Source organism: Homo sapiens, chromosome 5, assembly GCF_000001405.40.
Source record: "Homo sapiens chromosome 5, GRCh38.p14 Primary Assembly".
In the NCBI taxonomy this organism is placed as follows: Eukaryota; Metazoa; Chordata; class Mammalia; order Primates; family Hominidae; genus Homo; species Homo sapiens.
In genome coordinates, this window is record NC_000005.10 from 1,076,436 (window position 1) to 1,089,979 (window position 13,544).

The 13,544-nt window shown below is 62.8% G+C and overlaps 1 protein-coding gene across 10 annotated transcripts in view; it reads right to left on the minus strand.

Annotated features, from left to right (window-relative positions):
• SLC12A7 (solute carrier family 12 member 7) overlaps positions 1-13,544 on the minus strand; it is a 105,516-nt gene that overhangs the window by 26,052 nt on the left and 65,920 nt on the right. For all 10 annotated transcript variants that reach the window (XR_007058571.1, XR_007058570.1, XR_007058569.1 and 7 more), the window contains exons 4-13: positions 12,547-12,693; positions 11,871-11,925; positions 10,468-10,598; positions 8,797-9,038; positions 7,310-7,521; positions 5,142-5,309; positions 2,963-3,061; positions 2,266-2,323; positions 1,398-1,572; positions 259-377 (exon numbers count right to left, since the gene is read on the minus strand). Coding sequence is in view for 7 of the 10 variants with exons in the window: in XM_011513941.3 (XP_011512243.2) it covers positions 259-377; positions 1,398-1,572; positions 2,266-2,323; positions 2,963-3,061; positions 5,142-5,309; positions 7,310-7,521; positions 8,797-9,038; positions 10,468-10,598; positions 11,871-11,925; positions 12,547-12,693 (1,406 nt within the window). In the remaining 3 variants the exon portion in view is untranslated. The remainder of the gene's footprint in view (positions 1-258; positions 378-1,397; positions 1,573-2,265; positions 2,324-2,962; positions 3,062-5,141; positions 5,310-7,309; positions 7,522-8,796; positions 9,039-10,467; positions 10,599-11,870; positions 11,926-12,546; positions 12,694-13,544) is intronic.

Sequence of the window (13,544 nt, forward strand, 5' to 3'; positions counted from 1 at the left end):
CATCAAGAGATGGGCCATCGTCCCTTCCCCAGCAGCCGTCTGTCCAGCCACACTGTCCCTGGCTGACCCCAGCGGGCGGCTGCCTGGAGGCCTGTGTACTTGTCTTCCCCGGCGCAACTCCCTTCCCGGCAGGATCCTGACTGCCCACAGCTGGCCATGCCTGTCTACTGCTTGTCCTGAGCAGGACCTCCCATCCACACTGCCCCACGCTCCAGGCCCATACACCCATCCCCAGGTCCCCGTCCTGTGGGGGCTCACATGGAGAGGATCGGGGCCACGCTGTCCAGAGAGGCGATGAGGATGCCAGTCTCGCAGATGAGGACTGTCAGCAGCAGCGCCCACGTGGGCTCCCCGTTGGCCTTCCCGTGGCCAAACACCTGCAGGGAGAAGGGCAGGAAGATGGGGCAGATGACACCACCCTTTTAGGAGAGAAGCTGCAGGCTGGTCAGGTCTAGCCCAGATGAATCTTAAAGACACAGACCAGCAGAAACGCCTTTCACAGTAGGTCCCCGGGACATCACGCGGCTGGCCTGGGAAGAAGCCCTGACAAAGGGCTGCAGCCCAGGAGGCTTCAGAGCTGTGCCTACGCCCGGCTTGCCTGCAACCTGTGTGGCCCCAGCCTGCCCCCCCGCCTCAGTTTCCCCGACCACACAACACAGGACCAGCGTCTCCAGGGCACTCGCGGTTCCCCAGACCCTGTGGTGACCTTTCTCATCAGGCCACCCTCACCTCCCAGAAGCTGAGGCCCACGGGGCCTGTGTGCCTGTCCCCTTCCTGGACACCATGCCCTAGGCCCGGCTGGGACTGAAGATGCAACCACACAAAGGCCCTGCGGGTCGGCACCCTGCCGAGGGACCAGCGACGGGCAAGGATGGCTCTGCCATCCACGACCTTCCCACAGCTGCCCCTGGGCCCAGGTAGCAGGAGGAGCCACAATCGGCAGCTCTGGGCACAGCACACGGACAGGACCCATGCGGGCGTCCGTGCAATCCTCAGAGCAGCCACACACACTGGCTGCAGGTGGCTGGTGACGCCACCTCCCACGGGCTGAAGAGCTCAGCCACACAGAGAAAGATGTGGCAGGCAGGCAGAGGGCTTCTGACCAGACAACAGACCAGGCACCTCTGGACACGTGGCTGTGGGCCCTCACAGCCGCTCCTGACACACCCGGGGCCGAGCTCGGAGGGACCTGCAGGCAGGAGGGCTAGAATTGCCTCTGCCCACCACCCACCTCCCACCACTCCCATGCTCTGTGCAGTGGCCAGGGGCAGAATGACCACCATGGGGTCCAAGCCGCGGGCATGCGTCCCACACACGGCACTGTGAGGATCCCGCAGGGGAGGAGAGCCCCCGACCCTGACCTTCCAGGGTCCCCCCGACGAGGGTGCGGGACTCACCTGCAGGAAGGGGACGATGCCGTCACGGGCAATGGCCTGCAGTAGGCGCGGTGCCCCCGTGAGGCTCTGCAGGCCGGCACCGCAGGTGGAGAAGAAGGAGCCGATGACGATGACCCAGGGGGAGGGCCAGGCCAGCATGCCGATGACCAGGTTCCCCTGCAGGGCCTCCCCGAACCTGCAGGCAGGCGGGCAGGCGGGCGGGCGGCTTTCAGAAGTGAGCCTGAGTCAGACAAAATGTCTTCTCCCACCCAGAGCGAGGGGCCCAGTGCAGTGGGGGCGACTCCTTGGAAAGCTGAGGCCCGGCCTCCAGTCCCCGTTGGCTGAAACCTCCACCAGGCTCTGCCCAGCATGGCCAGAATGCTCTGGAGGGTCTTCAGCGGGGGAGGGGGTCCTGCTCACCTCAGGGTCGCTCTTGGGAGCAGGGAAGACCCAGCCTGGCATCAGCTTCAGTCAGGGACCACCCAGGACCCCCGGGGCCTTGGGGCTGCCAGACACGCACACCCCATGAGGATGCAGGGTCAGTGATGACCTGCCTGGGACCCCACTACTTCTCCACTTGCCAGCAGGGCTGAGGGATCTCCCAGGGCCAAGCCTCACCCGTCCACACCCCTGTGGCCTCCCCAGGAAGGGCCTGCGCCCCCAGCCGCATCAGGGCTTGGAGTTGGCTCTGAACGGTTCCCCAGGCCCTAGGCTCCAGCGGAAGAGACGACACATCAGACCAAGGGATCCCAACCCTGGGACCAGGACGCCTTCAGCTCTGCACGCGGACATGAAGTCCTAGGGCGATGTAATTTCAAAGCCGAATTCATCCTCAGGAAAACCCTTGAAGACTACAGGCTTTGCACGAAAACTGCAGGTGGAAACGTACTTATCTCGTAAGACCACGCCTTCAATGCAGGCCCCAAACAGCACAATGCAGGAGAGATCCACAGCCCTCGTCAAGGAAAGGCAGGTCCGTGGGTGCAGGGTCCTCAGGTACGGGGGGTGGGGTGGGGTGGGGTGGGGTGGGTGGGGAGATGCACTGGCCAGCGGGCCGCAGGATCCAGGTGGGCGGGGACCGTTCTGCATCCCATCCCATCCCGGGCACGTCCTGTCCCCCGTGTCCTCAGCGCACCCTCCTGGGGCTCTGTCCAGCGCCACAGAACGGGGCCCTGGGGTGGTGGACACACACCTGGCCTGGTGCTTGACCGCCAGGGATTGGCAGGGGACCATGCTGAGGGGACAATGCTCGGCTGGAAAGAGGCAGCCTTGGGATTGAGAAGCCAGAGGCCCCGCGGGCCCAGCCTGCCGGCGGCACACCCCACACACCGCTGCGCATCACTGTCCACACGCGGCAGGGTGACTGCTTCTGTTTTCTCTACGATCGCATCACACAGTGGTGAAGAAGCCAGGGTCCTGACAGCAGCCCTTGCCCCGTCTCCCAGGGAGGATGACGTGGTGAGAGCACAGCCTAACCTGGGAAGTCACATGCTGGTGGCCGAGGGTATGATGCTGAGCCGGGGAGGGCATGGGGGCCTCCCCCCAGGCAGAGGCTGGAACCCTCGCCTGCACCCCTCCAAGGATACAGATGAAAGACGTCGTCACTATGGCCAGGATGGTCCCCGTGGGGATGGACTTCTGTGCATCCTTGAGGTCCCCGGACCGGTTTGAACCCGCCATGATACCTGTGAACATGGAAAATGCTGCAAAGACCCATCTGAGGAGTCAGTGCCATGTGATGGCAGCCCCTGCCCAGAAAGCTGGAAAGGCGGTCTCTGGGGAGACCCCGAGCGTGAGCTGCAGCCGAGGCTGCAGTCCAAGCTCCGCCAGCCCACGCTGCAATACTGCGGCTGAGGGGATGCGGGCCCAGGCACGCGGATGAGCACCCACGTCTACTGCTCCCCTGGATCCGAGGACGAGAACCGACCCCGTCACTGACCCCCACGCCCCCCACACCCAGGGCTTCTCTGGAGCCTGTGTTAATCCCATGGCCAAGGGTCAGCCCAGAGACGGTGCTGAGCAATGGCTCACAGGCCCCCAGGACCTAAGGACTTTGGGAATGAGATCCTAGAACGACTCAGCCCAGCCAGCCAGGCCAGCAGACGCTGCGACCCCTCCCGCTGTGGCACCACCTTGCTCTAGGGAGCCACGGCCGGGGATGTTTCCACACAATCGGCTCCTACAAAGCTCTGGGAAGCCGGGTCGGTGGGGGCCACTTCACGCCTGGCTCGGTCCCATCCAAGGCGCAGCCTGAAGCACCCATTGCTCGGGGTGGCCTGGGAGGCAGCAGAGCCCACAATCCAGTGCCGCGGAGACACCCGGAGCCACGCAGAGGCTCTGCCCCCACGCCCTCCACCCGCGGCTCAGAGACACCCGGAGCCACGCAGAGGCTCTACCCCCACGCCCTCCACCCGCGGCGCGGAGACACCAGGAGCCACGCAGAGGCTCTGCCCCCACGCCCTCCACCCACGGCGCGGAGACACCAGGAGCCACGCAGAGGCTCTGCCCCCACGCCCTCCACCCACGGCGCGGAGCGCACTCAGACGGACGGGGGAGGCTGGAGCGGAGGTACAGGGAGAGGACCCCCGGCAGATCACCCCCTCCATAGCAAGACGGGCCCACCTTCAGTGGAGGCAAGGGAAACACGAGAAGCCAGCGCTGTGGCCAGGCCCTGCAGCTGACCCTGGGCTCCAGGGCTTTCGGATGTGCTGAGATGAAGTCCGGGAGCAGACGTGGGAGGGACCAGAAGGGACCAGAAGGGCAGCTGCAGGCTGCACAAGCAGCCAGCGCCTGTCAGGGGCGTCCCGACAAGAAGGCCGAGTGGAGACAGCCGGGGGCGTGTGTGTGCGACTCGAAGAGCACGGGGCCTGGCCCCACCCCCTGGGGAACAACCAAGGGCCCCACCCACCGCCGGAACAAGGCCCACTGTTTGAGGAGGACACAGAGGGCCGAGGTCCCCGGCCTCTGAGCTCACACTGAGGCCACTCCTAGGTGTCTCCTAACAGCCTGCCAGGTGTTCCCAGCAACCCTACAACAGCTTCTCCTGACACAGGGCTGCCTGGGAGAGCAGCAGACAGGCTTCTCACAAATCCATCAGGACGCAGGGCAGAGACCTCAGCCACTTCCCCTGAGCCAAACAGGCAAGATAAGCAGGGGCAGGAAGGAACACACTACAGAGAGAGAGACAGAGAGAGAGACAGACAGACAGACAGAGAGAGAGAGAGGGAGGGAGGGAAGAAGAGGGAGACAGAGAGAGAGAGAGAGACAGACAGAGAGAGAGGGAAAAGGGTAGGGGGAGAGAGAAAGAGTGCCGGAGGAGAGAATGACAGAGACAGAGAAATGGACAAAGACAAAGGAAGAGAAAGAAGGAAGCCAGGCGTGGTGGCTCAAGACGTCTGTAATCCCAGCACTTTGGGAGGCTGAGGATGGCTTGAGCTCAGGAGTTTGAGACCAGCCTGAGCAACGTGGGGAGACCCCCGTCTACAAAAAATACAGACATTAACCGGGCGTGGTACCGTGTGCCTGGGGTCCCGGCTGCCCCCCTCTACAAAAAATACAGATATTAGCCGGGCGTGGTACTGGGTGCCTGGGGTCCCAGCTGCTTGGGAGACTCAGGTGGGAGGAATATTTGTGTCTAGGAGTTGAGGCTGCAGTGAGCCGTGATCACACCACTGCCCTCCAGCCTGGGTGACAGAGCAAGACCTTGCCTCAAAAAAGAGAGGGAGAGAAAGAAAGAGAAGGGGAAGCCTGGAGCAGCGGGCTCACCGGTCACGGAAGGGAAGTAGATGCCAACCAGCAGGGTGAAGGAGGCCGCGATGTCGGTGAGCACGTAGGGCAGTGCGCTGGCACGGCTCTCCTCTGCCACGGGCACCGAGGGCACACCTTTCTTCTCCACAAACGCCCCCGCGTGCGCGTACGTACTCCACAGGTTCTCTGCCGGGCAAGGAAGATCCCATGGGTTTCTGGCACCTTCTGTGCAGTGCCCCCGCCATGGGGCCGCCCACTCCCCGGCAGGTGCCACTGGTGGCCGGAGGGGAAGGGTCACAGCTTGTGCGCCGCAAGCAGGCTCCAATTCAAACACGCTTTCGAGATGGTACCTCTGGGAAAGCTGCCTGTCTGCGTCTACGGAGGGAAGGTCAGCACTAAAGAGAAGCCTCATGTGGGGAACAACATACTCCTGGAAAGCCTGGGCTTCCCGTCTCGGGTTCTGGAAAGTCCAGGCTTCCCGTCTCGGGTTCTGGAAAGCCTGGGCTTCCCATCTTGGGTTCTGGAAAGCCTGGGCTTCCTCTCTAGGGTTCTGGAAAGTCCGGGCTTCCCCGTCTCGGGTTCTGGGGAAGTCCGGGCTTCCCGTCTCAGGTTCTGGAAAGTCCGGGCTTCCCGTCTCGGGTTCTGGAAAGTCCGGGCTTCCTCTCTAGGGTTCTGGAAAGCCTGGGCTTCCTCTCTAGGGTTCTGGAAAGTCCGGGCTTCCCCGTCTCGGGTTCTGGAAAGCCTGGGCTTCCTCTCTAGGGTTCTGGAAAGTCCGGGCTTCCCGTCTCGGGTTCTGGAAAGTCCAGGCTTCCCGTCTCGGGTTCTGGAAAGTCCAGGCTTCCCGTCTCGGGTTCTGGAAAGCCTGGGCTTCCCATCTTGGGTTCTGGAAAGCCTGGGCTTCCTCTCTAGGGTTCTGGAAAGTCCGGGCTTCCCCGTCTCGGGTTCTGGGGAAGTCCGGGCTTCCCGTCTCAGGTTCTGGAAAGTCCGGGCTTCCTGTCTCGGGTTCTGGAAAGTCCGGGCTTCCTCTCTAGGGTTCTGGAAAGCCTGGGCTTCCTCTCTAGGGTTCTGGAAAGTCCGGGCTTCCCCGTCTCGGGTTCTGGAAAGCCTGGGCTTCCTCTCTAGGGTTCTGGAAAGTCCGGGCTTCCCATCTCGGGTTCTGGAAAGCCTGGGCTTCCCATCTCAGGTTCTGGAAAGTCCAGGCTTCCCGTCTTGGGTTCTGGAAAGCCTGGGCTTCCCGTCTCAGGTTCTGGAAAGTCCAGGCTTCCCGTCTTGGGTTCTGGAAAGCCTGGGCTTCCCGTCTCGGGTTCTGGAAAGTCCAGGCTTCCCGTCTCGGGTTCTGGAAAGCCTGGGCTTCCCGTCTCGGGTTCTGGAAAGCCTGGGCTTCCCGTCTCGGGTTCTGGAAAGCCTGGGCTTCCTCTCTAGGGTTCTGGAAAGTCCGGGCTTCCCATCTCAGGTTCTGGAAAGCCTGGGCTTCCCGTCTCAGGTTCTGGAAAGTCCAGGCTTCCCGTCTTGGGTTCTGGAAAGCCTGGGCTTCCTCTCTAGGGTTCTGGAAAGTCCGGGCTTCCCCATCTCGGGTTCTGGGAAGTCCAGGCTTCCCGTCTCGGGTTCTGGAAAGTCCGGGCTTCCTCTCTAGGGTTCTGGAAAGCCTGGGCTTCCTCTCTAGGGCTCTGGAAAGCCTGGGCTTCCTGTCTTGGGTTCTGGAAAGCCTGGGCTTCCCGTCTCGGGTTCTGGAAAGTCCGGGCTTCCCGTCTCGGGTTCTGGAGCAGGTCTCGTGTACCCTGCCAGGGGTCCTTTTCCCTCAACCCCCTGGGGCAGGTCCGAGGCAGCCTCTCATCAGAGAAGGATACACAGAGGGGGAAGTTACCGCCCAGCTACCACTCCCTTCTTAACACAGCAAGTTCCCCATACATGCTGCCAGGAGGTCATGAAAATAAATCCATAGCATTAAGACCAGCTTGCTGACCATGACGGAGGCTGTCTCCCTGCCACACCGTGTTTGGCTTCTATGGCTCTGCCAGGGGTGTGTACAGGGACCCCCAGGCTCATCAGCAGCAGCTGGGAAGGGGCTCGGCCAGGCAGGAGGAATTGGGGCCCTGAGAGTGACTCTAAGGCGAGAGCAGCCACCAGGGCCAGCGCCTGCTGCCCCCGCCACCCCCCAGCTCCAGCTGCAGCCCTGTGAGCCTCACCCAGGAAGACACCACTGGCCGCGCCCGGGATGCCCTGGATTTCGGTGACGTTGTTCTGGATGAAGTACTCGTCACAGGCGGCGCTGGGCTGGGAGCCGTTGCAGAAGAGGCCCCAGAGCGCGGAGGTGGCTGAGTTGTTGTGGATGCCGTAGGCCTTGACGCAGGCATCGAAGCTGCGCCGTGACAGCGTGCGGTTCCCCAGGAGGCAGACCCTGGGCGGGACAGGGAGGCACGGCACGTGTGCTGCCACCGAAGTGGCTTTTACTGCCCCACCCAGCTCCCCCAACGGGCACCCATGGTGTCGCCCGCGAGTGGCTCCTGGCACCCTGCACCTCCCAAGACAGGAAGGCCACAGATCACGCCAGGGACCGGGCCCAGGCCAGGCTGCAGCAGGAATGCAAGGGCCAGGGATCACACTGGGGACCGGGGACTGGGGACCAGGGACCGGGGACCAGGCCAGGCTGCAGCAGGAACGCTGTACTGTACAGCCGTCCCCTCATCCATGGTTCGGCCACCCGTGGTCCAAACGTGCTAAATGAAGCGTTCTAGACGTAAACAATTCACACGTTTTCCACCGCGCGGTGCCGAGTAGTGAGGTGGAACCCAGCAACCTCCCCCCGCGCCAGCACAGCCACGCTGCAGCCGCTCCCTCCCCGAGGCCCTCGGCGGCGTCCTGGCCGGGTCAGCTGTCACAATCTCAGTGTCTGAGTTCAAGCCACCCTCGTGCCACGTGCCAACGGCCAAGAGCACAGGAGTGCCGCCCCCGACGTATAAGCCAGGCCTGTACGTGGAAAACAGTCTACACAGGGCCGTAGCGTCAAGCATCGGCAGGGGGTCTCAGGACGGGTCCCCGAGGGGGAGGGCAGCTGTGCTTCCCTAAAACGGGCTTGTGGGGTTGCAGCTGTTCTGCCTCCCTCTGTTTTGAGGCCTCTATGAGGCTGTTCCTTCAGGGGCTCCCTCCACGCAGAGACGGCAAAACCGCGGGAGCCTCAAGGGGCTTGGCTGCTGGCCCTTTCTGGACCTGCTCCCTGCGGGCTCTGGTGGCCACTCCCATGTTCCAGGACCCTGGGCCGCCTCCCAGCTGCTCCTCCAAAAGGACAAGAAAAGAGCCCCTCCAAGCACCTCTGGGAGGGAGAAGACACCCAGGCCCCAGCAGCAGCCAGGGCCACACCCATGACGCTCACTGCACCTGACCGTGCTCAGGGCCACCGGCCACCCCTGAAACCTGCCAGACCCCTCACCAGCCCTCCTGCCACTGAGGAGGGTCTTCATGCTCAGACCCGGCCACGAGGGTACCTCGGCCCACCTCACCGTTGGGTTTCCTGTAATCCCCAGAACGAGCCCACGGGGGTTCCCGCCACGGTCACACCCAGCCCACCCCTTGCGGGGAGCTCGGCGTCAAGGATGATGGACGAGAGGCGGGCAGAGCCCATGGGACCTGGCCCCAGCCCCACACCCACCCACGGCTCAGAGGCCCCGAGACTCACGGGATGTCCGGGGGGTCGAAGGCAGACTTGATGACGCCGGCATAGATGGCCAGGATGGACAGCACGACGCAGGCCAGGAAGACCAGCGCCAGCTTGTTGACATACTTGACGCCCACGAAGACCACCAGGGCCATGAGCACGAGCGTGCACGTGCCGTACACACGCATGTTGTGCAGCATGGCGGCCGCCTCGCCACCTGCAGCCTCCGCCTGGAAGATGGCCGCACCCGGGGAGATGTACGTCTGTGGGAACAAGGCCGGTCGGGAGGCCGTCCCCGGACACAACTCCCCAGTGCCCGTCCCTCCCGCAAGCCCCCAGCGCCACACAGGGGCCTCCTCCCAACAGGTGCCGGGGCCATCGGGACGCATCCGTGCTGGACGGAGCCCGCGGGGGTCAGCGCACAGGCAAGGGACGGAGCCCGCGGGGGTCAGCGCACAGGCGAGGGACGGAGCCCGCGGGGGTCAGCGCACAGGCGAGGGACGGAGCCCGCGGGGGTCAGCGCACAGGCCATGGACAGCCAGGGGCCTGAACGTTTCCCAGGAACCACCCGGGAGCCTTAGAGTAAAGCAACTTCAGGACCCGGGGCATCCGCATGTCCGCACTCAAAAGAAACACCTTCTGCTAAGAGGAATGTGACTGCTGCCCAGAGAGCTCGGCCCACCCCGGCTGGACGTCCTGGACACACACAGGGTCTGACCACGCCGGCGGGGGGCAACCTCTGTTCTGCCCAGATTCAAGGGAAGGGACGGAGACGTGAGACAGTGCTGCTCAGCTCCCTCAAGACCAGGACAGGACTGGGGTGCAGCAGGCATGGAGGGCATGGCACCCACCCCCACCAAAGGGGATCCTGGGAGTGCGGCAGCCACGGCACCCGGGGCAGGTGGAAAGATGGAGGGACATGGCCAGGGGACTCGGGTTGGGACGGGTGTGGGTGCGACCCCACTGAAAGGTTTCAGAACCTTCTTGGCCATGTGGCTCTCTTCAGGAACCCAGGAGGCCAGGAACCAGGTCTGGCAGCAGAGGGAGGGGCAGAAAGACTGGGGACAGGGGCTCAGGTGAGCGTCTCTGAAGCCCTGCAGGGACAGCGGGTTTCAGAACCTCAGCAGGAAGGACAGCACCCGTCGGCCAGAGAAGGGCGGTTCCCGTCCCCACGAGGACCAAGGAACTCAGGCCACAGCTCTCAGCTGTGCTCAGGTGATGTGGGACATGCTTTGAGCATGCCTGTTTTGAGAAGGTGATGACATCACCTGGTTGTACATTGCTGGGCTCTGGGACCCTCGGCCAAGTGCCCAGATCAGGCAGAGAAGAGGCTGGGATCCTGGCAAAAGGTTCTTCTAAGCCGAGTTCCAGCCCTGCTCCTAAAACAGCTCCGACTGCAGGACTGCACCTACGCGGGGCTCAGATCTACAGTCCAGATGTCTACCCAGCTCATGCCAGGCACGCCTCACGGAGGGCAGCAATGGTGCTCAAGGGGGACACAGGTCGCTGCTGAGTGGACGCTGCCCAGTGGCTTCCGCCATGGCCAGAGCCCAGGAGAGCCCAGGGGCAGCCAGGGCAGTGGGGTCAGGATGGCTCAGTGTGCTGTGTGTGCCACAGAGTGGGTCAGGCAGGGCCCCTTGGCATCCTGCCACAGACTGTGGGGTGGGAACCCTTCCAAAGCAGCACACTTACCAGAAAAATCTCGATGGTCCCCAAAATATACATGGCCCCTGCAAACGTCGTGCCCAGGTAGAAGCAGAGGCCGACAGCGCCTCCAAACTCGGGTCCCAGCGAGCGCGATATCATGTAGTAGGACCCGCCAGCTGCGGAGACAAAGGCGGCAGCCGCGGGTCAGGGGCGCACTTGGACTCGGACCCGAGGTGCGGTCTGCGCTGCCATTCACGGGCAAAGGAGGGCCTGTCTCTGCGAAGGCAGCGTGTAGACCCTCGTCCACCCGCAAAGCAGCACATGGAGACGCTTCCACGGTGAACTCTCCCCTCCCGAGGCTCGGCACACGTTCCACACCAAGAGCACGCGCTCTCATGGACATGAGGACCAGGTGAGATCAGGGATAAGGCTCTCTGGGGAGCAGGAGGCCCCAGCAGGTCCCAGAAAAAGTCCCGCGTACATCAGTGGCAGCCCCAGCCCCCACTTCCACTAAGTTTTGCTTATGAAAAAGGCAAAAGAGAAACTAGGATGTTCAGGAGTCGTCTCGTGTACTGTGAACCACGCACGCTATCACTGGCGGGAAAGCCGGGCGCAACCCCAGGGCTGCCTGGAGAACACAGCTCTCCCTGCTCTGAGCAGTGCGTGTGGCATGTGGAAGGGGTCCTAATGGACGCGGCCATCGTGAAGCAGAGACTGGTCCCTTGGCTGCGGAGGGAGACCCCTGGTGAAGGCCCTCGTGCTCTCCTGAGGCCGGGGAAGTCCGCTGAGCACCAAGCGATGCCCCCGTGGGGATGGGGACCAGCTGCGTGAGGACCTGGTGCTGAGCAAGCCCAGCCGTTAACACGCGCAGCACACATGCACTCAGAAGCAGACGTGGCAGCGTCTCCGTTCACTAGTTATTTCGTATCGTAATTCGTTTATTACTAATTAACAGTATCATCTCAGTTTACTAGTTATTACGTATTGTAATTAACTTATTACTAATTAATATCATCTCGGTTCACTAGTTATTTAGTTATTATGTATTGTAATTAACTTATTACTAATTAACAAGGTCAGGGCAGTGTTTTGTCTTCACCTTCCCTCGTGAGATACAGGTTCCAAGAACTCAGCCTATGGCACACGCTGGGCTACAGGAGCCACTGGAATCGCCCGTGCCTCCCCCTCCCCAGCCCGCTGCCTGGTGGGCACTGCCTACCCTGGCAAGAGACGGTCACCACGCAGCAAAATGGGGAAGAAAACCAAACAGCCGTGACCTCACGGCTCAAACGCCAGAGGAGCCAGTGGAGAACACGCAGAAGGCCCGGCTGAGACCCCCAGGCAGCCCCCGGCCCGGCCTCGCCAAGCGGCCTCCTCGCGGTTGCCGTGCGGCAAAACACAGACTCCTCTAACAGGACTCAGGGCCGCGGCTGGCGGGCACCCCTTACCTGGGACCACACCGTTGGTAGCGATCGCACTCATGGAAATGGCGGTCAGCATTGTCTGCAAAAAGACAGGCAGCCATCTGAGGAGAGTTTTCCAACAGCCTGCCGGCATCGCAACACTCCCAAGTCAGGGTCTATGACCCGGCTCCCGCCGAATGCCAGCCCCCAACTCCAGGGCTCTCCATCTCAATGGAGTGGCTAGGAAACAGGACCTGGAGGCTCCCGGGCACCAGGCATGCGTGTCCTGGTTCCCACCCCTTCCCCTATGACAGCGACCCCTGAAAGTGCCCAAGGTCCTTCCAAACTGGAGGTGATGTCATCAAAACACAGGGTGTCCCTTCCCTTGGAAGCCTCAGCCCCCGGGTGCCGCCCCATGACACCCACCACTGGCTGAGATGCCTGTCCGCAGACACGGGTAAATGAGGTGCCAGCACGCCAGTCAACACGCCAGCACTAACCCCGGACAGTGTGGCATCTCATCCCCGCAGCTGCCCGGCTCTCGTGGAGGAGACGGCGCTGAACGACGTCTACACGGGCGTCTGGGGAGGGCCCTACTGTCCGGCTGCCACCGCCCGAAGGCACAACCACAGCGGCCAGGGGAGACGGCATCTGGGGAGAGCCCTACTGTCCAGCTGCCACCGCCCGAAGGCACAGCCACACCTGGCCGGGGGAGACTCACACATGTGCAGCACATGGCCACGATGAGGAAGGACTCCAGGACACCAGCCACCCCCACGATCCACGTCAGGCGCAGGAAGAGGATGACGCCCAGGATGTTCTGCAGGCACGGCAGGTAGACGCCGATGAAGGTGCCCATGCGCGGAGCCTGCGACAGAGCATAGCGTGTCCCAGGGGCTCGTACCCCACACCCAGAGGGAGCCCCCTCCCCAGGCTGCACTCAGGCCCTGGGCAGGCAAAGCGGCCGTGGGGGCAGGAGGGGGCAGGAGTCCTTCCCAGAACAGATGGAGGTTCAGAGAGAGGCCCAGGACAGGACCCCTGACCATCCCGGAATGAGGGCTTAGGGGAGGGGAGCAGAACCACATGGTTGGCAGAGAACCAAGATGCAGCTGCTCCGCTGTGCCTCCCCGACGGAGGGAAACCTGTTACACTGGAAAAGTTATGGAAAAAACAAGAGGGAGAACGAGAGGGCCCCCGGCTCCGTTCCCTGGATGGCTCAGGGCCTGAGATCTGACACCCTGGGAGAGCCTGAGACTTCAGGAATGGAAGCAGAGCCAGCGGAGGGATGAGACGGCTGCTGCCCATAAAGCTAAAAAAAAAAAAAAAAAAAATCCACAGCTCAGCGTCGGCCCTGGGCAGAAACTGACACATCTTAACCGGGCACGGAGGTCACCACGAGATAACAGCAAAGGTTCAGATATCCACGTGGGGGCCACCCCGCCTGCCCCAGCACGGAGCAGGCAGCCTGCTTCAGACACCTGTGCCAGAGAGGGGGACACACCCTGTGCCCTGAGAAAACCCACATGGGCAAGGGTCAGCAGCACAGCCAGGAGCAGGCCAGCGCCTGCCAGGCAGCTCCCCAGCTCCACTCGGGACGGGCCAGGCTGGGGTAGAAGTTTCAGCTCCATCCCCACTGCCTGCTCAGCCCCACTCCCGCCATGAGCAGAGGCACGTGGCTCAGACCTGGAGGACGGCTGGTGCCAGCACAAGGTGACGTTT